This window comes from Homo sapiens, chromosome 12, assembly GCF_000001405.40.
Source record: "Homo sapiens chromosome 12, GRCh38.p14 Primary Assembly".
Taxonomy (NCBI): Eukaryota; Metazoa; Chordata; class Mammalia; order Primates; family Hominidae; genus Homo; species Homo sapiens.
In genome coordinates this window covers 662182-687705 of record NC_000012.12, presented here as the reverse complement: position 1 = coordinate 687705, position 25524 = coordinate 662182, and the positions used below count along the sequence as shown (strand labels likewise).

Below are 25524 nucleotides of genomic sequence, written 5' to 3'. Positions count from 1 at the left end.
TGTATCCTAACCACCTGGGGTGAGACTGTGTCATGGGTGCATTCTTAACCTTGGCAAAATATACTTTTTAAATTGAATGAGATTTTCTTTCTTTTTTTTTTTTTTTTGAGACTGAGTCTCACTCTGTTGCCCAGGCTGGAGTGCAGTGGTGCGATCTCGGCTCACTGCAACCTCCGCCTCCTGGGTTCAAGCAGTTTTCCTGCCTCAGCCTCCTGAGTAGCTGGGATTACAGGTGCGCACCACCATGCCCGGCTAATTTTTGTATTTTTAGTATAGTTTCACCATGTTGGTCAGGCTGGTCTCGAACTCCTGACCTCATGATCCACCCACCTCGGCCTCCCAAAGTGCTGGGATTACAGGCCTGAGCCACTGCGACTGGCTTGAATGAGATTTTCTCAGATACTTTTGGGTTTGCACACCAAAGGCTGTCCTCACACCTTTTGAATCTCTCTTGAAGATTCATCTCCTAAGAAACCAGACCTTGCTAATCCTCGCCTGGCTTTAATCATCTCATTTATTCCAAGATCCACTTTATCCTCCAGGCATAGAATTATAGACCGTAGGATCCCAGAAATTTCTGGCTTAGAAAGTCATTTCGATTTTTACAGATATGGACCACAACTAGCCAAGTGATTAGTCTAAGATCACTACGTGAATGATCTTAACTCACGTAGTTAAGGGACAAAGACAAGTCTAGAACCCAAGTCTTTGAGTCCTTAGCTCAAGATTATTTTCACTACGTGGAGATCTATTATTTGTGCTCCTTTTCTCTATCTGTATTCTTATGTTTTTTCAGGAGACCCATCCTTCTCAATTCTTTTATTGCTGTTACCATCATCTTTAGCATCATAATCAACATCATCACTTCAGCTGTTCCCAGAGCCCCCCTACATGGTGCCAGTGGGTACTCTATAACCATTCCTGATAGCACAGCTTCTTAACCCTTTTTCTCTATGCCAAATGATTACATGTTTATCGCCCTGTAAGTATCAATCGTCTTCAAGACTCAAGGTGACCAAAGTTGGTAGAATGAAAGAAGCATTGTTACTGATGCAGGAAACCCAATGCTTTATTTCAAATGTCAAAATACAACTTGCCGTACTGAAAGAGCAGGAAAGCTGGGACTATAGTGGCCACAGTATCAGGGAAGTTGACCCAGCTCTTGCCCATTAGAAATCATAGGAACCATTGAGTGTGAGGATGCTGGATTTCAGAAGGACCTGTTAATTGCTTACACCGTGACCTACCCTAGCTATAATGCACTGTGCAGCAGTGAACTCCTGACTCTAGCTGGGCCAATCTGACTTGCTAATGGCAGCTTAGAATTGAGGCCTGGAAGCACTGGGCCTTGTCCGGTAGGGGCTAGAATTGTGAAGTGATGGCCGGGCATGGTGGCTCACACCTGTAATCCCAGCACTTTGGGAGGCCGAGGCGGGCAGATCACGACGTCAGGAGATCGAGACCATCCTGGCTAACACAGTGAAACCCCATCTCTACTAAAAATACAAAAATTAGCCGGGCGTGGTGGTGGGTGCCTGTAGTCCCAGCTACTCAGGAGGCTGAGGCAGGAGAATGGCGTGAACCCGGGAGGCGGAGCTTGCAGTGAGCCAAGATCGCACCACTGCACTCCAGACTGGGTGACAGAGAAAGACTCTGTCTCAAAAAAAAAAAAAAAAAAAAAAAAGAAGTGATGTAAGGCTAGGGCCAGATGGTCATGCCTGGTGAAGCTCAGAAAGAGAGAATGAAGGAGAACCTCAGAGAAGCAGAGATGAGAGACCCCAAAAAACAAAGAGCAGTCATGGGTCCTGACTCCCACTCCAGCTCCCATCTTTTGGTGGTCTGTACAAAACCCAGTATCTACAAAAACCCTTCTTTCTTTTTTCTGCTTGACTTGAACTAGTTGAGTGGGTTGCTTTTGCAACCAAGAAGTCTTAACTAAGACCTTCCCCTTCTCTACAGAGCTGAAAGATGAACCAGGCAGCTGTGCACAGTTGGAAGGTCAGGGAGAGGGTTGCCAAGAATTTAAAGATATTGTTTCCTTCTCTGTAGGAGATGGTGCTTGTCAGTCTGTGATTTTCTGTGAATCAGATCTCACAATCACAGACATGCCTCTCTGCCCCCACCTCCCCACCGCAGATAAACATAGCAACCGTTGCCAACCTTCAGCCTTCACTCAACTTCATTTCCTCTCTTGCACTTGAGCCTAGAGGAGTCAGAAACAAGCTCAAAGGCTTGTTGATGTGAGTCTGCCAGGCATGGTGGTACACGCCTGTAATCCCAGCTACTCAGGAGGCTGAGGCAGGAGGATCTCTTGAGCCCAGGAGTTCAAGGCTGCAATGAGCTATGATCACGCCACTGCACTCCAGCCTGGGTGACAGAGTGAGAGTCAAAACAAAACAAAATAAAACAAACAAAAAGCCTGGTTAAGGTGAATCTAACTGGGCTTTGGCTTACCTTCTCTTTTTTGGGAGGTAGAAGGTTTTTGGAAGGTAGAAGGATGTATTGCAATGATTCCCCAGCTTCATTCACTAGCACACCACCTTCATGATTTTTGACGTGTCCACATATCAGTTGTACTATTATTTTCTTAATTAGACTTTCTTATTTTCTTATCTTCACCTATGATATTTTTTAATGGAACCATGGCTTTGCAATACATATGATGTTTTTTCAAATATACATTAAAATGCAAAACTATTAAAATAATTTTTTTTTTACCACCTAAGATTATTTTATGTGTACTACCTTAGGAAACAATGTCATGTAGGCTTTGGAATCAGGCAGGCTTGTTCAGGTAATACCTGTATGTCCTTGGGCAAGCCACACTCTCTAACCTCCAATATTGTCATAATAAGTGTGTCTTCCTTAGGATTTTGGTGAGGGCTAGATGGGTCAGTTTGTGTGTGTGTGTCTGTGTGTGTGTTGCGTGTCTGTGTGTGTAGATGTGGGTCTCACTGTGTTGCTCAGGCTGGTCTCAAACTTCTGGGCTCAAATGATCCTCCTGCCTCGGCCTTCCAAGTGCTGGAATCACAGACGTAAGCCACTGCACCCAGCCCTAGATGGGATGATTTAAACACTGTGTTTCAACTGCCTTGCACGTGGGTAACACCTAGTAAGTACTCAGTCACTGTTAACCATTGCTGTTCCTGCATTCTCTATTTCTGCACTTTGTCTGCTTCTCTGTATTTCCTTTCTTTCCTTTTTGGTCTGTTTGCAGCAGGAACCAGCATGGAATGGGTTTGCTTACTGGAGCATATGAAATGTATGTAAAGCCCTCAGGGACCAGGACAGAAAGCTAAGTGTGGTGCCTCTGCGGGGTCCGGGTGTGTATAATAGAATCTAATGATGTGACTTGTTATCCCATCGTGCTTGTGTGGTTGAGATAATAACATTGTTTCTATAGAACCTGCTTTAAAGGGTCAAAGCCCTCATGGACATTATCTAGCTCATCTCTCTTAAGTGTGGACAAGTGTTATCGTCCTCGTTTTTCAGGTGGAGAAATCAAGACCCCAACAGAGGGCTGACCAGGTTACTCAGCAATGCTGTGGCAGAAACACACAAAAGAGTCCGTGGCTTGTGATTCACAGGCCAAGACGCTGCCTTGGCGCAGCACTCCCCGTGTTGACGTGGAAGGTGGTGATGGCAGTGAGCAAAAAAGTGATCCATGCACAGATGCATTTGTGAACGCCGGATGAAACAAAGTTAAAATAGGTGGGTTTTTTTTTTCTGTAGGATTTCTCAGTCTTTCATAAGATAACATGCATGATGATTCTCCGAGGGAGATAGAGCATACATAATTTTCCACATGTGAGCATTAAGTATACCTACTTAGGAACTCTAAAGATAGTGTCCCTCAGAGCACTAGTTTGGGAAATAGCGTCTTAGTTGATCATACTGTCTTGAAAGCCTTCTTCTGATTTCTTTATGTTATAAAAGAAAGCTGCTTTTGGAATGCTAAAACAAAAACAAAAACAAAAACAAATCCCATGTCCGAAATCATTCTACCCCCATATCACCCTAGTCCCACCCTGGGGACTAGGATTTCATTCCTGTATCACTTGTTGCTACACGCCTGGGGAACTGCCTGCCTTTGATCACATACTTACTAATGTGTAATATTTCAACTCTATTTGGTTCTTAAGTTATTTCATTTTATTTTATTTGTGAGATGGAGTTTTGCTCTTGTTGCCCAGGCTGGAGTGCAATGGTGCAATCTTGGCTCATCGCAACCTCCACCTCCCGTGTTCAAGCAATTCTCCTGTCTCAGCCTCCCAAGTAGCTGGGATTACAAGCACACACCGCCACACCCAGCTAATTTTGTATTTTTAGTAGAGACGGGTTTTCTCCATGTTGGTCAGGCTGGTCTTGAACTCCTGACCTCAGGTTATCCGCCTGCCTCGGCCTCCCAAAGTGCTGGGATTACAGGTGTGAGCCACTGCCCCCGGCCAAGTTATTTTTTTAATTCGTAATTTTTCTTTTTTTTTAATTTTGAGGACTTAAAATAATACAAGAAAATAATAACTTCTAATTTTTAAAATGAAAGTGTTGATAGAAAGTTAGTGTTAGGAGAAATGTCATATTATACAGAAAGGACGTGAAGTCCTACAGAGGCCAGGTCACATGGCAGGACAATAGCATACCCACAAATAGAAGAGAAGTATCCTGTCTCTTGGGACAGACTGTTTTTCACTGCTGAAGCGTTCCTTTGCTTTGATTTATAGGTGAGGTGTATTGCTGAGCCATTTCAGCGATCTTGACTCTGTGTTTCTCATTTAGATATTTAATATAAAATACTGTGTGGGAAGAAAAGGAAGTCATGGAAGCATCTGTTTTACAAATACGAAGTAGACACAAAGCTCTCTTTCCACAGAGAGCCCTCCTTTATTATACCAACGTGAGAGGTCAGGACCAATCCCACGTTACAGGCTCACCCTGCTCACACTAGGCTTTTACGTAGCGCAGTGGCCGTGTTAAGGACTGATGAGCAGGTTTCCCCTGCAGCCGAGGTCCCCTTGCTGTAGGAGAAATGAAGCATAGTCAGGGCGGAGGCCCTGAAAAGGAGATGACGTGACAGAGGATTCACACTTTATCACTTTTGTTTTCTGAAGAGGTTTGAGATGGCTTAACATGAAGAACATGCATATCAGAATTGGTGTTTTGTTGTTGTTTGTTTTGTTTTGTTTTTGTTTTTGTTTTTGTTTTTGTTTGAGACAGAGTCTCGCTCTGTTGCCCAGGCTGGAGTGCAGTGGCGCCATCTGGACTCACTGCAACCTCTGCCTCCCGAGTTCAAGCAATTCTCCTGCCTCAGCCTCCCGAGTAGCTGGGATTACAGGCATCTGCCACCACACCTGGCTAATTTTTGTATTTTTAGTAGAGACAGGGTTTCACCATGTTGGCCAGGCTGGTCTCGAACTCCTGACCTCAGGCAATCCACTCACCTCAGCCTCTCAAAGTGCTGGGATTACAGGCATGAGCCACCATGCCCGGCCAATTCCAGGGGACTTTAAAAAAATGTTCACAAAAAACGAAAAAGAATGAGGGTAATATAAGACTCAACACTCTCCATTCAAAATGAACAAATGTTAACACTTAGTCATATGTTCTCTAGACCTTAAAAACAAAAAGAAGGAATGAAACATTACAGATAAAGTTGAAGTCCCTGTATCAATGTGATGGGCTAGCTATGCTACAGTAACAAACATATACTCCCACAGTTTTAGTGGCTTAAGGAAGCAGAGATCCATTTCTCAGTCATGCCTCATGTTCACTGTGGGTCATTTGGAAACTATCATACACTGTCTTCACTCCAGGACCCAGCGGATGAAGTGGACTGAAACACTGAATCTGAAACATTGATGATCACTACAGCAAAGGGAAGAGCTCGGTAAATTGTGCATATCGTTCTTAGATCTTCCACCCAAAAGTAACACTTCCACTTACATGTATTGGCCACGGTAAGTCATGTGGTTGTGCCTAACTTCAAAGAATGTAAGGACATACAATCCTACCATGTACTGGAAGGAAATCCAGAAGATTCCTTTTTTTTTTTTTTTTTTTTTGAGATGGAGCCTTGCTCTGTCTCCAGGGTGGAGTGCAGTGGTGCGACCTCGGCTTACTGCAACCTCCGCCTCCGGGGTTCAAGTGATTCCCCTGCCTCAGCCTCCCGACTAGCTGGGATTACAGGCACACACCGCCACGTCTGGCTAATTTTTTTTTGTATTTTAGTAGACACAGGATTTCACCATGTTGGCCAGGATGGTCTCTATCTCCTGACCTTGTGATCCACCTGCCTCGGCCTCCCAAAGTGCTGGGATTACAGGTGTGAGCCACCACGCCTGGCCAGAAAGGCTCTTAAAGAGGCCTAATGACTATCACAGTCCCAGAACTGCTTCCCTCTCCCGCTAGAAGCAGCCACATGAATGTGACGTGTATCTAGACCCTATTTTATATTTTCACTACAAATACACTGTAATAGAGATGGTATTCATTTGCATATTTTAGAAAATATTTGTTAATGGGATCATCCTTTTATAATGTACAATTTTTAGTCAATAATTTTCAGGACTTATCAATGCTGAATCATATAGATCTAGTTCATTGATTTAAACTGTTATATAGAATTCCACATTAGAAATATACTGTGATTTATTTATCTATTCTCCTACAAATGAACAAACTATTTACAATTTTTTTTTTTTTGGGATGGAGTCTCACCCTGTTGCTCAGGCTGGAGTGCAATGGCGCAATCTTGGCTCACTGCAACCTCCGCCTCCCGGGTTCAAGTGATTCTCCTGCCTCAGCCTCCTGAGTAGCTGGGATTACAGTCACGTGCCACCACGCCTGGCTAATTTTTTTTTTGAGATGGAGTCTCGCTCTGTCACCCAGGCTGGAGTGACACAATTGTGCTGCAGTGGCACAATCTCGGCTCACTGCAAGCTCCGCCTCCTGGGTTCACGCCATTCTCCTGCCTCAGCCTCCCAAGTAGCTGGGACTACAGACGCCCGCCACCACGCCCTGCTACTTTTTTGTATTTTTAGTAGAGATGGGGGTTTCACCAAGTTCGGCAGGATGGTCTTGAACTCCTGACCTTGTGATCCGCTCACCTCGGCCTCCCAAAGTGCTGGGATTACAGGTGTGAGCCACCGCGCCCAGCCGGACTATGGACATTTTCAAGTTTTCTAGATATTGTCAAGTTATTCTCACAAATGACCTTGTCATTTACACTTCTGCCAGATGTGCATGAGAGTTCTCATTTTCATACCTCTTTGCCAACATTTGCTATTGTCAAACATTTTACTTTTGGCCAGTTCCATGGGTGTGAAATTGTATCTTAGTGTTGTTTTTAAATTGTATGTCCCTGGTTGCTAGTGAGTGGAGCCTTTTTTCATATTTGGTCATTGAGTTTCTTTTTCTGCTGCATGGTATTGTTCAAATTCTTTGCCCATTTCTCTGCTGGGCTGTTCATGTTTTTCCTTTTTTTTTTTCTTGAGACGGAGTTTCACTCTTGTTGCCCAGGCTGGAGTGCAATGGCACGATCTTGGCTCACTGCAACCTCTGCCTCCTGGGTTCAAGTGATTCTCCTGCCTCAGCCTCCCAAGTAGCTGGGACTATCACACCTGGCTAATTTTTGTATTTTTTGTAGAGGCGAGGTTTTGCCATGTTGCCCAGGTTGGTCTTAGACTCCTGAGCTCAGGACTGTGCTTAACCCAACACAACATTTTCCAGATCTAGCCATTCAAACATTTCTTGCAATTTAGGCAAGTACAGAATACATCCTCTGTTCATGGAGGGGGTTACTTAGGGATAGAAGGAATATATAAAATGAGTCTACATATTTTTTTATTTCAAATTTTTTTAATTTAAAAAAGTTTTTTTTGTTTTTTTTTTTTTGTTTTATTTTTTGTAGAGACAGGGTCTTGCTATGTTGCCCAGGCTGGTGACAAAATCCTGGGTTCAAGAGTCTATATATATAGACTCATTTTCTATATTCCTTCTATCCCTAAGTAACAGTTATTGTTATCCAAAGATCAGCCGGTCCAAATGCCCTTCTCACAGAGGGCTTCTTTGACCTAGAAGGCAATGGAAGTGTTTAAAATAAGCTGACCAGTTCCTTAAATGAAACTGAATTTATGTTACTCTCTAACAGACCAAGGCTGAGCAGTCAATGGTGCCCTGTGCTCATGAATGGACAGTAGTGTCTTGCAAAGGGACCATGAGCTGAAAAGACATTCTTAAGTGCAAAAATAGTGTGGTAATTATAGGAGTAAGTGGAGAGTCAATTTCTTCTTAAAACATCATCGTTATTAAAATAGACTAAGTGCAGGGGTGTTGGGATTATGACGTTGTTTACGGTATTTTTTCCCTTCTCTATTCTCCAAATATTCTGCAATGAACTTACACTATACTAATAATTCAAAAATCATAATGAGAAGTAAAACCAAAATGTAACCCACTGTGATGATAAGGATTCTCAGTTTCTCAAGTAGATGTTCATCTCAAGCAGTAAAGGGGGCGGGGAAAATTCCAAGGCAGAAAAGCATAAGGGTCTTTCCCACTTGCAAGCTTTTCAAAGTCAAGTCGAAAGTGTTAGAAAACTGAAGCTTTACGTGGAAAATGGGGGAGGACGTGGCCAGATGCTGTGATGGAAAAGCATAAAGAGGAAGAACTGCTGATGGAAGGAGAGGAACAGAATGGACGAGGAAGGAAGAGGGAGGCTTGGCCAAGGGCAAGGGTATCCTGGAATAGGAGGTGTGTATGCCTGGGGGAGCAAGGCAGCAAGGAACAGAGGAAAGAATACAGGGAGAGTCGATGTCCACGACTCACGTGGAAGCCGTGGCTCTGTCCTTTGCTAGTGTTTGGCCATGGGCTCTTGGCGCAGCCTGGTCTGTGAAATAAAGGGGTACGCAGGGTCGTCCTGTGACCCATGTGTGACGACATTATAGGAAAACATTTGGAGAACACAGAGGTTCTGTCCGCAGGTTACTTAGTCTTAATGAGAAAAGGGCTTGACCTCAGCCTCTTGAAGAAGGTACAAAAAGAGAGAGAGAAAAGGGCACCAGAGGAGTGCTAGTAAAGAGCAGAAAGAGAAAAAAACTCCCAGCTGGGGCACAGTGGGAAGAGTGCATGAGAGAACAGCGTCAGAGCCTCCAAACACAGGGGCCCACCCATCGCCATCCCTTCCTCATTCACTGTGAGTGACCTGGGGTTACGTGCCTGCTGGGCCTCAGGAGACAGATTTGGGGGGAACACCGGACAGGCACTGTATGTATCTAAAGTCTAATCATGTTTTTTTTTAATTTCTTTTTCTTTTTCTTTCTTTTTTTTTTTTTTTTTTTTTTTTGAGATGGAGTCTTGCTCTGTTGCCCAGGCTGGAGTGCAATAGCACGATCTCAGCTCACTGCAACCTCCGCCTCCCAGGTTCATGCTATTCTCCTGCCTCAGCCTCTCCAGTAGCTGGGATTACAGCATGCACCACCACATCTGGCTAATTTTTGTATTCTTAGTAGAGGCGGGGTTTCACCATGTTGGCCAGGCTGGTCTCAAACTCTTGACCTCATGATCCGCCTGCCTCGGCCTCCCAAAGTACTGGGATTACAGGCATGAGCCACCGCACCCGGCCCTCTTTTTCTTTTTCTTTTTCTTTCTTTTTTTTTTTTTTTGAAACAGAGTTTCACTTTTGTTGCCCAGGCTGGAGTGCAATGGCCTGATCTCAGCTCACCACAACCTCCGCCTCCTGGGTTCCAGTGATTCTCCCATCTCAACCTTCTGAGTAGCTGGAACTACAGGCATGCGCCACCACGCCTGGCTAATTTTTGTATTTTTAGTAGAGACAGGGTTTCTCCATGTTGGCCAGGCTGGTCTTAAACTCCCGACCTCAGGTGATCTGCCCGCCTCAGCCTCCCAAAGTGCTCCGAAAGTGCTGGGTGCTGTGAGCCGCCGTTCCCGGCCTTTTTTTTTTTTTTTTTAGAGATAAGGTCTGGCTCTGTCACCCAGAGTGCAGTGGCATAATCATAGCTCACTATAATTTACCACCATGCTCAGCTAATTATTTTTATTTGTTTTTTGTAGTGACGGGGTCTTGCTATGTTGCCCAGGCTGGTTTCAAACTCCTGGGCTCAAGTGATCCTTTTGCCTTGTTCTCCCAAAATGCTGGGATGACAGGCCTGAGCCACCATGCCCAGCCTGTTATTTCTTATTAAATCTCTTTGCACAACATTGGGAGAGCTTGCCAGCAAAGGGCAGCAAGTCATCTAGAAAGACGCATTTTGATAGGTGGAAACTTAACACCAAACGAAGAGGGATTTTTTTTCCTGCCCCAGTGGTCCTCACTTTCTGTGGCCTGAAGCTTGTGTCCCTTAGCTGCTTAAATTCCCCAAGACTCAGCTGACTTCAGGGGTAAATCACTACCTTGGTGCTCTCTCCCTCATACACCTTGAAAGCTGAGGATTGTGTTTTGGTTTTTTTCTCTCCCTAAAAGGTAGCTGTACTCTGTCTTCCTTTTAACCACAGTTCCCTAGAAAATAAGAACTGTGACAAACAAAAGGAGATGGGTACAAGAATAGGCCTTACTCCTCTTCTCCCCCAGTTCCTCAGCCCCAGATCCCAGGGACCCTAACCATGGTTGCAGTTTTCGTTGAGGAATTAAGGCCTACAAAGAAAATCTAATGCGCAGTAACCTAAGCTTGACTCTTGGCTTAGAAGTCCCAGCTTCAGGAAAAGCCTACCCATTAGGTTCTTTCCTCATTCTGTTGAGGTAGCTCTTATGAGCTCTATTTTACACACATGGCTCCTCAGACTTAGAGAGAGTAAGTCAGTTTCCCAAAGTCTGCAGTGGTGCATAGTAACATTTTTAATATTACCTTCAGTACTGGCTCTGTTTTACATATAACTCAGTGATTGCCAAGGAAGACGGGGCTGCACACCCCCATAAGGGTATTCGAGCGTGTGTGTGTGTGTGTGTGTGTGTGTGTAAGGAGGAGGTTGAAACTTATATTCCATATAATATTATTTATGCTTGAAAAAGGACCCATTGCTTTCATTTTACAATGAAACTTTTACTTTTGTGAAAAGTAAATTGGACAGAAATCTTGACTGTCGGGGATCTGCAAAGGTATCCTCTTTAATGTGGAGGATGTTCAGAGCAGGGAGAGTGAGATGTTTATATTCTATTTATCAGTCGGGGGCTGTGGGTTAAATACAGCAGCCTAGCCTTTGCCAAGTCTCCACTGACCACGTGCTCCTGCTTTGGATCATTGATGTTTTGTATTTAATCTAATCTTGCAATGAAATTCTTCTCAGAGCTTTGTCATTTAGACTTCACTCTTTCTCATAAATAGCCGCAGTTTTTCTCCTCTGTTTAATAACAGAGGAAGAAAAAACAATCGTGATATAAAATGAAAAAAAATGCAATATAAGATTTTATGTATAGTATAATCTCAACTTTATTAATAATTTTTAAATGAATTTATAAAAGTTAATATGAGGGCCGGGCGCACTGGCTCATGCCTGTAGTCCCAGCTACTCGGGAGGCTGAGGCAGGAGAATGGCGTGAACCTGGGAGGCGGAGCTTGCAGTGAGTCGAGATCGTGCCACTGCACTCCAGCCCGGGCAACAGAGCGAGACTCCGTTTCAAAAAAAAAAAAAAAAGTTAATATTAGAGGGAATGTGCTGCAATGTTAAAAGCACAGACCTGAAGCCAGAAAGACTCAGGTATGAATATTGTCTCTGCCCTGACTAGCTGTATGAACTTGGGCAAGCTACTTAAACTTTCTGATCCCCAGTTGTTTTATCTGCAAAAATGAGGAGGGGGAAGAATTGTATTTATATCAAAGAAGCTGAATTAAATTATAACTAATTAAATGAAATACTTGACACACAGAGAACCCTCAATAAATGATCTTATTATTCTGAGTAGGGAATACAAAGAGCCCACTTCATGGGCACGTGACCACGCAGTCAAACAGGACTCCAGAGTGGGTTCAATGCTCTGCTGTGGCCTTCTTGAAGTTCCTCATAATTTGGGAACAAGGGGCCTAGGTTTTCATTTTGCACTGGACTCCGCAAATTACACACACACGGCACACACACAGAAAAGATTAAAAAGCAATAAACCAATTACATCAATTTTTTCTATTTTCTATTTTTTATTTTTATTTTTATTTTTAGAGAGTCTTGCTCTGTCACTGTGGCTGGAGTGCAGTGGCGTGATCTTGGTTCACTGCAACCTCCACTTCCTGGGTTCAAGCGATTCTCCCGTCTCAGCCTCCCGAGTGGCTGGGACTACAGGCGCCCGCCATCACGCCTGGCTAATTTTTGTATTTTTAGTACAGGCAGGGTTTCACCATGTTGGCCAGGCTGGTCTCGAATTCCTGACCTCAAATGATCCACCCACCTCAGCCTCCCAAATTGCTGGGATTATAGGTGTGAGCCACCACGCCCGGCCTACATCAAATGTTTAATAGAAATAAATAAAAACAAAAAGCAGTAAACCGAAATGTAAACAATGTTTAATCTCTGGATGGTTTTCTTTTTCCTTTTTTGTTTTTCTGGGGCGGGGGTGGGGGGTTCACTCTGTCGCCCAGGCTGTAGTGCAGTGGCACAAGCTTGGCTCACTGCAACTCTGCCTCCCAAGTAGCTGGGACTAGGCATGTGCCACCACGTCTGGCTAATTTTTATATTTTTTGTAGAGACAGGATTGTGCCATGTTGCCCAGGCTGGTCTGGAACTCCTGGACTCAAGTGATCCACCCACCTCGAACCTCAACTTCCTAAAGTGCTGGGATTACAGGCGCGAACCACTGTGTCTGGCCTCCGGGTGGTTTTAAGTGGGAACTTTTATTTCTCACACATTCTTCTGTATATTCTATATTTTCTACAAGAAATATATATTACTTTTCTAATCAGGAAAAAAAATGAATATATGCATGTGCCTTTACAAAACTGTTCTCATTCTGCAGATGAGTGAAACCAAGGTAACAGATGGGAAGGAAATGACTCACGTAAGATCACACAGCAATCGATGTCACATTATGACAATGTTCAGGAAACTGCATTTCCATTTTTGCACCCCACTCTCTTGGGTCTGTGTTACCCACAGCTTTTCTAACAAGAATCTCGTTGGCATCTGACTTGATCTGGGGACCTAGCACTACACTATGCAGAAGGGGGCCCCCCCTCAGAAGCCCAGTATCAGTTAGTATGTGCTTATCTGCAGGGGCTCACTGCTGTGGGAGTTTCAGAAGTAGAAGCCACAGTCCCTGTTCTCAAAGGCTTACAGATGGGTACTCACAGTTGCACATGAAGCAGGGATGTCAGTGCTGTTGTGCAGACTCTGAATGCTGTAAGAATAGCAGGGGAAGGAACTGGTTGTCAGAGGAGAAACCAAGAACCGTTGGCACAAAATCTTTTTACCAGGGTTGTTCACAAAAGAAAAAATGCTGGAAGCTCTGCTCCTTTTAATTTCCCCCAGCTACCCTGTGTAGGCACCTGAAGGTCAACAGTATGAAGGAGAAGGGGGTAGAAATGCACAAAATAGTTCTCGTTTTGCATATTCCATAGTTCATAGTATGTATTGAAGGTCTTCTTTGACAAACCCCACTGAAGTTTCCTGATTTCACCTTCACCATGGCTAAAAGCAGCAGCTCGCCCCCACGCTTTGATTTTTCCCTCCTGTACTTTCTCTTCCCCTTCTGTTTCTCTTGGTGAGGGGTCCAAATTGGAAACTTTTTTGTCCCACAGCCCACCATAAGGGTTCATTCTGTGAACCTATGTCTATTGCATCCCAGCTTACCTAACAGCTCTTTCCCCAAGAACCAAACTTTAAGTTCCTCTCAGCAGCACAGTAAATCTTCAGAGGCTAATACATGTTTTTTTTTTCTTGAGATGGAGTTTTGCTCTTGTTGCCCAGGCTGGAGTGCAATGGCACAATCTCGGCTCACTGCAACCTCTGCCTCCTGGGTTCAAGCGATTCTCTCACCTCAGCCTCCTGAGTAGCTGGGATGACAGGCGCCCGCCACCATGCCCAGCTAATTTTTGTATTTTTAGTAGACACGGGGTTTCACCATGTTGGTCAGGCTGGTCTCAAACTCCTGATCTCAGGTGATCCACCCGCCTCGGCCTCCCAAAGTGCTGGGATTACAGGTGTGAGCCACCGTGCCCAGCCCACAGACTAATATCTTTAAGGAACTTCTAGAAATCATCTCTGGCCGAGTCATCCAGGTGCAAACGAGAGGTTCTGGGCTGAGATCAAAGAGAACAAGGGGAAGATTCAGCAGTTACACAGCTGGGCTCATAGTGAGGGGATTTGCATGAATATTAACATCAGCTCCATTTACTGGGTTCTTTTACCCTGTGCCAGGCAGGTAATTTGCTTGATATGCATGATCTGATTTAATTTAGTTCTCATAGTGATCTTTCTAAAGTAGGCACTACGATCCCATCTTCACAGGGAGAAAGGAAGCAAAGTAAGTTGCTCAAAAACACAGCTAGTCAACACCCCCAGAATGTATCATGCCAAGAGTGAACTCTAATGTAAACTGTGGACTTTGGGTGATAATGATGTGTCAATGTAGGTTCAATGATTGCAACAAATGTACCACTCTGGTGTGGGATGTTGACAGTGGGGGAGGCCATGAGTTGGGGTGATAGAGGAGAACTCTCTGTACTTTCTGATTGATTTTGCTGAGAACCTAAAACAGCTCTAAAAAACAAAGTCTATGTAACCACACACACACACACACACACACACACACACCCCTAGTAAATAGTAGGACCAGGAGTTAAGACTAGGTCTGTCTCCTTAGGTGATGGTGAGTTATTATCAACAACATGTTGAACTCCACCGTACAGGTAGCAATAATGATGTGTGTGTGTGTGCGTGCGTGTGTGCACATGTGCTGTGCATGTATTGAGGATTGAGGGGGTCTGTGTTAAAAAAGAAAGAATTGGAAGGAAGAAATCTCAAACTGAGTCCTGGCTCCATCACCAGCTGTGTGATCCTGGACAGGACACTTTGGTTTTAGTTTCCTCATCTGTAAATTGCTACTGGGTCATTGTGAAGATCCAATAAAATAAAATATGTACAAAGTACTCTGAAAGCATAAAGTACTCTGAAAGCAACTACTCCTGTATTAGTTTCTCTCTCTCTCTCTCACACACACACACACACTCTCAAATGTATACATCTGTGTGATTTAAAGGGATAGCCAGGAAACTCGTCTTGTAAGTCTCTAGTCCCACCTTGACACTGAACTACTCCTCTCATTTGTAAAATGAAGTGGTAGTTGAACTGGTACTTCCATTGGAGGGTTTGTTGTGGTTTTCTTGAGACTCTAAACTCTGACTTCCATCCTCTACTCAGAACTCCATTCCTATGTCCCCATCCAGTCTTAAAGACTTGGCTGCTGTCTCTTCTGTCCACTCTCCACTGCCACCTTCGAGCTTGCATCCTCCCCACACCCCGACCGGAGTCCCCTGTGCAATTCAAGACACAGTGCATCAGTGACATTCAGACATCTCTGTCTGAGGAACACTTTGTGGTTTCCCTGCCATTTAGAAAAGCCTTTAGCTGTAGAAATTTTCCAACATACACAAAAACAGAGAGAGTAATATATCTTCATGTGCCCAAAACCCATTTTCAACAATTATCAACACACAAGCAATCTAGTTTCATTTGTATTCCCACTCACCACCCTACCAGTGGATTATTTTGAAGCAAATACTATACATCATATTGTTCCATCTAAAATATCTTTAAAAACAATGACTCTTTTTATTAACATAACCAAAATGCTGACTAGGCACGGTGGCTCACGCCTGTAATCCCAGCACTTTGGGAGACCAAGACGGGCAGATCATGACGTCAGGAGATCGAGACCATCCTGGCTAACACGGTGAAACCCCGTCTCTACTAAAAATACAAAAAATTAGCCGGGCATGGTGGCGGGCGCCTGTAGTCCCAGCTGCTCGGGAGGCTGAGGCAGGAGAATCACTGGAACCTGGGAGGTGGAGCTTGCAGCGAGCCAAGATCGCGCCCTGCACTCCAGCCTGGGTGACAGAGCGAGACTCCATCTCAAAAAAAATAAAAATAAAAATAACCAAAATACCATATATCACCTAAAGTTAACAAAATATCCTTAATAATATTAGATATCTAATCAGTATTCAAATGTCCCTGGTTATCCAATATAGGTTTTATTATTCAGTTGGTTTGTTTGCAACATAATCCAAACAAAGTCTATACGCTGTATTTGGTTGATATGTCTCTTAGGTCTTTTTTTTTTTTAGATGAGTCTCCCTCTGTCACCCAGGCTGGAGTGCAGTGGTGTGATCACAGATTACTGCAGCCTTGAATTCCTGGGCTCAAGCAGTCCTCCCAACTCAGCCTCCTGAGTAGCTGGAACTACATACAGCTGCTTGCCACCACACCAGGCTAATTTATTTTTCGACACAGAGTTTCGCTCTTGTCACCCAGGCCAGAGTGCAATGGCACGATCTTGGCTTACTGCAACCTCCACCTCCTGGGTTCAAGCAATTCTCCTGCCTCAGCATCCCGGATAGCTGGGATTACAGGCATGCACCATATGCCTGGCTAATTTTTGTATTTTTAGTGGAGATGGGGTTTCACCACATTGGCCAGGCTGGTCTCAAACTCCTGACCTCAGATGATCCATCCGCCTCAGCCTCCCAAAGTGCTGGGATTACAGGCTTGAGCCACCATGCCCAGCCCAGGCTCACTTTTTTAAAAAATCATTTGTAGAGAGAGAATCTCCTTATGCTAGTCTCGAACTCCTGGACTTAAGTGATCCACCCGCCTCAGCCTCCCGAAGTGCCGGGATTATAGATGTGAGCGGCTGCACCCGGGCCTGTCTCTTAAGTTTTCATCTATGAGTTCCTTCTTTTCTTTTTTCCTCTAATTTATTTGTTGAAGAAACCAGGTCAGGTTGTTTGCACTGTAGAATTTCCCAGGCTTAATCCATCCCTGAGTGTCTGTAATATGTTCCTGTCTTCCCTGTGTTTCCTATAAACTGGAAATTAGATCTAGAGCATATTCAGTTTCAATATTTTTGGCAAGAATGCTTCATAGGTGGGGTGTCTGAGGAACACTTTGTCAGTTAAAAAGGTCCTGTGGGCCAGCATCCTGTCTGCTGCCTGGATAAGTGGCTATAATTTTGACTGTGCTTTGTAAACCTTCTTTTCCCTTTTCTTTTCTTTTCTTTTCTTTTCTTTTCTTTTCTCTTTCTTTCCTTCTTTCTTTCTTTCTTTCTTTCTTTCTTTCTTTCTTTCTTTCTTTCTTTCTTTCTTTCCTTCTTTCTTTCTTTCTTTTATTTTGACGGAGTTTCACCCTTGTCACCCAGGCTGGAGTGCAGTGGCACAATCTTGGCTCACTGCAACCTCCACCTTCCGGGTTCAAGAGATTCTCCTGCCTCAGCCTCCCAAGTAGCTGGGATTACAGGCGCCTGCCACCGCGCATGGCTAATTATTTTTTTTTTTGTATTTTTTTTTTTTTAGTAGAGCGGGGTTTCATCACGTTGGCCAGGTTTGTCTTGAACTCCCAACCTCAGGTGATCCAACCGCCTTGGCCTCCCAAAGTGCTGGGATTACAGGTGTGAGCCACTGCTCCTGGCCTTTTTTTCCTTTTTTAAATATCACTTCAAGACTTGAAACCTCCACACAATTTTGTGTGACTTGGGGTTGCCCAGCCCCCCCACACACCAGCCCTTAGAGGCTTATTACCATATGCCTCCTGAGCAGAAGTCCATTGGTTCCCAAGAGGTGCCTTAAGGGGCAGCTCGAGAAATGGAACGGGGCAGTTGCGGGGGGTAGGTGGCGGGACAGATAGGGCAGAAGTGGATGTGACTCTAGCATTCAAACAGCTTCACTTTAATCTGCTTTATGTTAACTTCCACATAAGATTACGTTTAAGAAAAGGATTTCTTATCTTTAAAAAGTTTGCAAACCACTGATCTTTGTCTCTCTCCTATCACTAAGAAAAGATCATCTATTCCTCTCCCTTAAGCCACCAAGAGAGTGCCAGGCACCTTTTTTTTTTTTCTGAGACGGAGTCTTGCTCTGTCGCCAGGCTGGAGTGCAGTGGTGTGATCTCAGCTCACTGCAACCTCCCCCTCCCGGGTTCAAGCGATTCTCCTGCCTCAGCCTCCCAAGTAGCTGGGACTACAGGCGCGCGCCACCATGCCCAGCTACTTTTTTTGTATTTTTAATAGAGACGGGGTCTCACCATCTTGGCCAGGCTGGTCTTGAACTCCTGACCTCGTGATCCACCCGCCTCAGCCTCCCAAAGTGCTGGGATGACAGGTGTGAGCCACCGCGCCCAACCGGAGGCTCTGTTTTTAATCATTCATTGAACAGTGAGTCACAGTTAAAATCCCCCTCCTCTGAATGTGAAAGAGTGAAGGGAAATTTTACTCACCACCACCAAGAGCATCCCCAGGCCTCGTGGGGCATTCCCACGAGAGCTGTGTGCCCTGACTTCCTATTTGTGTGAAGTCAGGCCCCGTGAGCATCTATCAAGGCGTGAGCAGCCAAATAGAAGTGACACATACACAATGACAGGATTCTAAATGTGGAATTTTGGTTGATAGCTCCACTGGCCGAGAAGGTGGCTACTAGCTACTTAAATGTAACCACGTAAATGTGAACTTAGAGGCTGGGCGCAGTGGCTCACGCCTGTAATTCTAGCACTTTGGGAGGTCGAGGTGGGCGGATCACCTGAGGTCAGGAGTTCGAGACCAGCCTGGTCAACATGGTGAAGCCACGTCTCTACTGAAAATACACAGAAAAATTAGCTGGGCATGGTGGTACACGCCTGTAATCCTGGCTACTCAGGAGGCTGAGGCATGAGAATTGCATGAACCTGTGAGGTGGAGGTTGCAGTGAGCTGAGATCACGCCAGCACACTCCAGCCTGTGGGACAGAGTAAGACTCTGTCTCAAAAAAAAAAAAAAAAAAAAAGTGGGGGGTGATTTTAGGCCAGGCACAGTAGCTCATGCTTGTAATCCCAGCACTTGGGAAGGCTAAGGTTGTGGATTACTTAAGCCCAGGAGTTCGAGGTTGCAGTGAGCTATGATTGTGCCACTGTACTCCAGCCTGGGTGACAGAGTAAGACCCTGTCTCTAAAATAAATTTAAAAATAAATAAAATCAAAATATGTGAATTTATTGAAACTAAATCAGATTTAAAACTCAAATTCCTACTCAGCCAACCAAATTTCATGTGCTCAATTGGCTAATGTGGCTAATGGCTACTATATTGAAGAGTGAAGATGGAAATGTTCAATAACATTTACTGCACTACCAGCTCCCTCCATAGGCCCTCAGAAAGCTTCCCTTTGCCATCCCTGTTGGCCCTGGGATTCCTGGAGAAGTGAATTTGAAAGCAGCTGAGTTCATGTGTAAATGGGCATAAGCAAGTTTGTAAGAATGTTTTGAAGTCAGCTTTTATTCTCACTTCTGTATCTTGTTTGACGTGGGTATGCCCTACTCAGTCTCCATGAGCAGGGGCAACAGACAGTGGTAATTTTCCCTAAAATTTTTCTAATTACATAAATTTTCCATCAGGGAAGGTCTTATTGGTAAAATTAAACTAAAAGCATTAGATTCTTCTTGCTCTGCTTCAATTTTTTAAAAAGCCAATAATTTCTAGCCCTCAACTTTTACACACTGAAATTCAGACCTGTATCTGAGATTTTATATTGTTACACAGGAAGTATTTAATATAAACTTTTTTTTTTTTTTTTTTTTTTTGAGACAGAGTCTCACTCTGTCACCCAGGCTGGAGCGCAGTGTTGTGGTCTCGGCTCATTGCAACCTCCACCTCCTGGGTTCACGCCATTCTTTTGTGCCTCAGCCTCCCAAATAGCTGGGATTACCGGCATGCACCACCAGGCCCAGCTAATTTTTGTATTTTTAGTAGAGAGGGGTTACACCATGTTGTCCAGGCTGGTCTCAAACTCCTGACCTCAGGTGATCTGCCTACCTCGGTGCTGGATTACAGGTGTGAGCCACGACACCTGGCCAAAACACACATTAGAAACAGAATTTAAGAGCTAGAGGGATCTTAGGAATCAACTCTTTTGATAGCTTCACATTCACAAACAAGAATGTAAGCCCCAGAGAAGTTAAGTGACTTGCCTAAAAACACAGTGACTCAGCACACAGAGAGGAATCCAGGCCACCTGGCTTTCACCCTAGAGCTTTTCCCACAATTCAAAATTAAAGGATCTTCTTGCTGTTGCCTTCTTCAGTACCCTACAACAATGCTTTGCTCCTTCTACATAGCAAGATACCTAGGGTCTCATTGTAGACCCCTCATTCCATGAAACTAGACTCAGAGTAGTTTCTGAGTCACTCTGAGTGTCTACTTATCTGTAAGTTCAAGGATATTCCAAAATATGCTTTCCAAGAGACAGTCTCCCTAAAAATGTCCCTCTGGCTTTACACCACAAAAATCACCCTAGCAGTAAAGAACAATAGAAACCATTTCCACCCACAGTGATAACCTCCACGTAGGTGCAGTTTCAGCACCAGCCAAATGGCAGCAACACTCTTCACTACAGCTTCCCTTGCCATCAGTTGTCTCACCAGGGCGTGCATGTGGTGCTTTTATATCCCCGCAGTGTTTAACCCAATATCCACGTGGTAGAGACTCAGTAGTTGCCTCTCAAGTGGGAATTAGACTTCAAAGACTCTGATTAAATCCTAGAGCAGGGGTCAGCAGACTATAGCCTGTGGAGCCAACTCCGGTCTGTTTTTATGAATATCTGACTCTTTTTGTAAATAAAGTTTTATTGGAACACTCCCACACTCGTTCATTTACATGTTGTCTATGACTGCTTTCACATTATTATAGAAGTGAGTCATCGCAGCAGAAACCATATGACACACAAAGGCTAAAAAATATTGGCTCTCTGGCCCCTTACAGAAAAAGTTTACTGGCTGGGCATGGTGACCCACGCCTGTAATTCCAGCACTTTGAGAGATCGAGGTGAGCGGATCGCTTGAGCTCAGGAGTTTGAGGCCAGCCTGGGCAACATGGCGAAACCCCCGTCTCTACAAAAAATACAGAAATTAGCCAGGCATGGTGGCACGCGCCTGTAATCCCAGCTACTGGGCTGGGGGTTGGGGCCTGAGGTGGGAGGATCACTTAAGCCCAGGAGGCAGAGATTGCAGTGAGCAGAGACTGTGCCACTGCACACCAGCCTGGGTGACAGAGTGAGACCCCGTCTCAAAAAATTAAAATTAAAATTAAAAAAGCTTCATATAGCAATTTGAATTTTATAAAAGGGAAAAATGAAAAAGAAAAACTTTGCTGACCCCTGGTCCAGGGTTACAGCGTGATATGGTAGATAAACCATTTTCCAAAGCCTTTTTTCTGTTTACTTCCAAATGATGCTTATGAGATGGGGAAAGGTCCAAATCCAGAAAGATCTTGCCAAACCAAAACCATTATTATAACCAATTACAGCTGTTTCCTTTTCAAACCAATGTGCTTATTAATAGGAAATTTTTTGAAATATATTCGAGTACTTTTCTCTTTTGCATTTTTTTGTTCCTGTTTCCCTCTATTCAGCCAGATGTATCCATATTATTTAAAAGATAATGAGGATTTTCACAACAGGAGTGCAAAGAGAAATAAATAGTTAATATTTTGCTTCTGGCATCCGAAATAAGGTTTTCCAGAAAGTTTTTTTTTTTTTTTAAGACATGGTCTTGCTTTGTCAACTCAGGCTGGAGTACAGTGTCATGATCATAGCTCACTGCAGCCTTCAGCTCCCAGGCTCAAGCAATCCTCCCACCTCAGCCTCCCAAGTACCTGGGACTACAGGTGCTGCAAGCTGCCACATCTAGCTAAATTAAAAAAAAATTTTTTTTTTGTAGAGACAGGATCTCACTGTGTTTCCCAGGCTGGTCTTGAACCCCTGGGCTCAAGTGACCTCCTGCCTCTACTTCCCACAATGCTGGGATTACAGGTGTGAGCCACCATGTCCAGCCAAAAAGTTCTTCTACAGATGGGATCTCACTATGTTGCTCAAGCTGGTCTTGAACTCCTGGGCTCAAGAGATCCTCCGGCTTTGGCCTCCCGAAGTGCTGGGATCACAGGTATGAGCCATGCTGCCCAGCCAAGACAATATTTTTGACAACCAGGTTTTCTTGAGAGAGAGGATTTTCTAAATTTCTTCATTTCCCTTTGAATTGTTGTCATAGAGTTCTACATCAGATACATCCCAGCCAAACAGGAAAAAAAAAAAAAAAAAGAAGACAAAGCGTACATTTTCTGATTCTAGATTAAGGGGACTATGGGAAGAAGTAATCTCAGCTACTCGGGAGGCTGAGGCAGGAGAATCGTTTGAACCCAGGAGGCAGAAGTTGCAGTGAGCCGAGATGGCGCCACTGCACTCCAGCTTGTGCAACAGAGCGAGACTCCATCTCAAAAAAAAAAAAGTGCTTAGAATAGTGCTTGATACATAGTGGTATTATTATGAGCGGTGGGGTGATAGATATTACTGGTAGACTTTTTAAGGAGTGCTGAGAAGAGTGGGTTCCAGGTCTCATTTCCATTCAGGAATGTGGAAGGAGATCACCTCGCAGACTGCCCTGTGTCAGTTGGAGCAGCCACATCAGAGCAAACTCTGCTGGAAGTGGGGCTGAGCTTGCCTTTCCCCTGCCCTTCGTCAGCAGCCCTCAGTCCCCATGTGCCTAAGGGGGCTCAGGAGCACTGGTCAAGCATCTCACAGGAAAATTTCGAGGGGCTTATCTTAGAGATGTGGGCCACTGAGCGGATACAGTGGGATGGGGGCACATACAAGTCAAAGCCAGGTCTCAGGATGGTCCACATTGCCACGAGCCAAGGTAGCGCAGACAGCAAGGGAGAACACTGGATCTCAAAGGCAGAAAGAGAATCACCCATGAGTGACTCTGGCCTAATATCAGACATCAGCCACCAAGGCCAGCAGAAGACCCAGGAGCAGGACCTGTGTCTCCTCAGCAGTCAGCAATTCGGGCGGGCCCGTGGGCCCAGCAGCTCCAGAACAGAAAGGAGCCGAGATGGAGAGGCCACAGGATAGATGCAAGAACCGTCCCCACCCCGCCCTCCTGTGCACCTAGGTGCCATCTTCTGCAAATCCGAAAGACTGAGCATTGTGTCTAAAGTGGACTGTTTACCATTTAAATGATTAAATCCAACTATGCTTCATAGATTAGACTAAAATATGGCCCCCATCCAATCATCCAACCCTCCCTCGCACCACTGTCCAGAGGGATGGGAACTTATAAAGGCATTTCATAGAACTGAAGAAATCGCCTTTTTTTTTTTTTACATTTGAATGTGGTGAGGGTAAACGTGTTGACTCTGCCTGTCTTCCTCCTGCCCGCACCTCTTCAAGCCCTGAATTGGATTACAGGTTAACACCCTGCCATGCACGTCTACAGACATACCCACACCCACACCTGCACAAGCTTGTGTCTAAACCTTGCTTCAGGAACAAGCCAGAAGAGTTTTGGGCTCTAAGGTAAACAGGAGAGGAAAAAAAAAACTTTCTAAAAAAAGACTCCCTCCTGGTAATTTTATTTTAAAAGTAGGGAGAATACCACTGTTTGCATAAACAAGCTTCGAAGGTACAACTACTCCCTGCTCCCTCTATGGCTAATCAAGGGAGGAGTTGAAGGAATCAAACAATCCGTCAGTAAAAACGTATTGTTCACTCACTTTGCAGAACAAAGCCTATGCTTTGGAGCCTATTAGGTAAACTACAATTTTTTTAAAAACTTTTAGGGATATAGGGAACAAAGCAAAGAACAACGGAAATCCCTCTGCCTCAGTATTGAGACTGTGCTGGAGGTCACTCCACCCGTGGCGACTGGGGACTGGACCCAGCGGTGAAGTCAGATAGCGTTGTCCTCAGGCTGTTTTTCAATTTGCTTGATAAACATGCAGGATTTCTTTGCCAGTCATAAAGCTACTAGCTCAAAGCAGGCTGGGTGACCTCAGATGGCTCCGCTGGGACTGGAAGGTCACTGGAGCCACTGGTGAAAATGATGCTGTCACTACCAACTCAAAAGGTCACCTATCAGTGTGCCATGTGCCACCTCCTGGAGCACACACATGTGCACACACATACACTCACACGTGTGTGCAGGTGCACACCTCCCCCAGAGGCTGCAGCCAAGACGGGCATCCCACATCAGAGGGATGAATGGCAGGTCTGTCCCGCCAGCTGTGTGCTCTCTCCCACCCGAAGAAAGCAGCAGAGACTCAGACGGCGGAGCCTGGAGGAGCCCACGCAGTCTGTTCCCGGCACCCGGTGCGTGTGAAGGGACTTGAGGGCAGCGAGATGGAATCAGCAAGAGAAAACATCGACCTTCAAGTAAGTTCTCTCTGGAAGAGAGCAGAGGGGAGACCGGGAGTAGAGGTGAAGCTGGAAGAACAGAGGATTGATACTTTAGTCACTTGATATTCTCCCTCCCCGTTCTCTTCTTACTCACTCCCTTCTCCAAATGCTCCCTAGGCTTTGTCTCTTTATTTTCTCTTTCTCTCTGTTTCCCTATCTGGTTCTTCACTTGTTTTGAAATATCTGAAAAACAGATTGGTTAACTCCCTTTTGGCCTCTGCTTCCTCTTGTCAGTCAAAGAGCTAATTAGATCCGTATTACCAGAAAATGATTTCACATTCTGAGCAGTGCTTTCCCCAAACCCCAGGACAGTAGAGACTTCTCTTAGAGCTGCCGGGGAGACAGGAAATATATGAGTTTTGAGGCTAGGAAGAGAGGCAGCTGGCCAACTTTGCATTTTACAGGTTGGAAAAAACTTGAGCCGTTTCTCGGCTGTCTTCACAAAGCTCTACTGTGTAGGACAGAAAGCGTCTCATTTGGACAGTGCAAGGAAAGGAAATCAGTCTAATCTCCTAGGAAGAGGCAGAGATGTGTGTCCCTCTGTAGCTGGGATGGGCTTGGAAGGCATCAGAGGTTCCAGTCCACTGCTGGAGGGGAAAGGGTGGGATGTTACGGTGAGAGGAGAGCCAGATTGCTGGGAGCTGCACTCTGTGACTCCTTGCCAATGGATAGAATAGAACGAACCCTTCTATGACCACTGCTGAGGCTGTGTAACATTGCAGAGAATCAAACAAAGTGTGGAAAAGGACTTTTGAGATCAAGAATTTCTGATCCCTGAACCTGGTCCTCGAACAAAATCTTAAGCAGCCACCCAATATACACTTCGGATTAAAGAAGAGCTGTTTTGTTGAAGCAGAGTATGTGCACGCGTCTCTCTCTCTCTCTCTCTCTCTCGTTCTCTGTGTGTGTTTTGGGCAGGGTGGCGTGAGTCTGGCAGAGTCTCTGTCCTTGGCCCCTCCGCCCTTGAGACACCACCAGGGAACTGTAGGACTGCTTGGTGTGCTGTGTCAAAACCATTCACCTAGTACAACTGCATACCCAGTGCTGTTTTCCTGGATTGGCAGCCAGCCCCGAGAGCGGTCCCACCGCAAGGCTTGCTTGTCCCTCTGTCTGGAACCTTCT

General features: G+C 44.9%; 1 protein-coding gene and 1 long non-coding RNA gene across 2 annotated transcripts in view, besides 6 other annotated features; both read left to right on the top strand.

Annotated features, from left to right (window-relative positions):
* Positions 1-15114, top strand: part of LINC02455 (long intergenic non-protein coding RNA 2455) — a 44021-nt gene extending 28907 nt beyond the window's left edge. Inside the window, exons 2-4 of the long non-coding RNA NR_187480.1 lie at positions 3493-3711; positions 5811-5954; positions 12687-15114. This is a non-coding gene — a long non-coding RNA (long intergenic non-protein coding RNA 2455). The remainder of the gene's footprint in view (positions 1-3492; positions 3712-5810; positions 5955-12686) is intronic.
* Positions 1902-1991: an enhancer, noted in NCBI's record as "active region_5785". NCBI's record gives its function as "activates an Ori minimal core promoter by ATAC-STARR-seq in GM12878 lymphoblastoid cells {active_cell/tissue: GM12878}" and the evidence as "EXISTENCE:reporter gene assay evidence [ECO:0000049][PMID:35858748]".
* Positions 2262-2381: an enhancer, noted in NCBI's record as "active region_5784". NCBI's record gives its function as "activates an Ori minimal core promoter by ATAC-STARR-seq in GM12878 lymphoblastoid cells {active_cell/tissue: GM12878}" and the evidence as "EXISTENCE:reporter gene assay evidence [ECO:0000049][PMID:35858748]".
* Positions 4958-5187: an enhancer, noted in NCBI's record as "active region_5783". NCBI's record gives its function as "activates an Ori minimal core promoter by ATAC-STARR-seq in GM12878 lymphoblastoid cells {active_cell/tissue: GM12878}" and the evidence as "EXISTENCE:reporter gene assay evidence [ECO:0000049][PMID:35858748]".
* Positions 14140-14239: an enhancer, noted in NCBI's record as "active region_5782". NCBI's record gives its function as "activates an Ori minimal core promoter by ATAC-STARR-seq in GM12878 lymphoblastoid cells {active_cell/tissue: GM12878}" and the evidence as "EXISTENCE:reporter gene assay evidence [ECO:0000049][PMID:35858748]".
* Positions 16621-16829: a silencer, noted in NCBI's record as "fragment chr12:780043-780251 (GRCh37/hg19 assembly coordinates)". NCBI's record gives its function as "represses an EF-1alpha promoter that drives an FKBP-Casp9 reporter gene in an ReSE screen in K562 erythroleukemia cells {active_cell/tissue: K562}" and the evidence as "EXISTENCE:reporter gene assay evidence [ECO:0000049][PMID:32094911]".
* Positions 20564-21063: an enhancer, noted in NCBI's record as "H3K4me1 hESC enhancer chr12:775809-776308 (GRCh37/hg19 assembly coordinates)". NCBI's record gives its function as "activates a minimal SCP1, AML or CMV promoter by ChIP-STARR-seq in naive H9 embryonic stem cells {active_cell/tissue: H9 hESC(naive)}" and the evidence as "EXISTENCE:reporter gene assay evidence [ECO:0000049][PMID:30033119]".
* NINJ2 (ninjurin 2) overlaps positions 24261-25524 on the top strand; it is a 99150-nt gene continuing 97886 nt past the window's right edge. Inside the window, exon 1 of the mRNA NM_016533.6 lies at positions 24261-24378. Coding sequence (NP_057617.3) covers positions 24346-24378 — 33 coding nt within the window. The 5' untranslated portion in view covers positions 24261-24345. The remainder of the gene's footprint in view (positions 24379-25524) is intronic.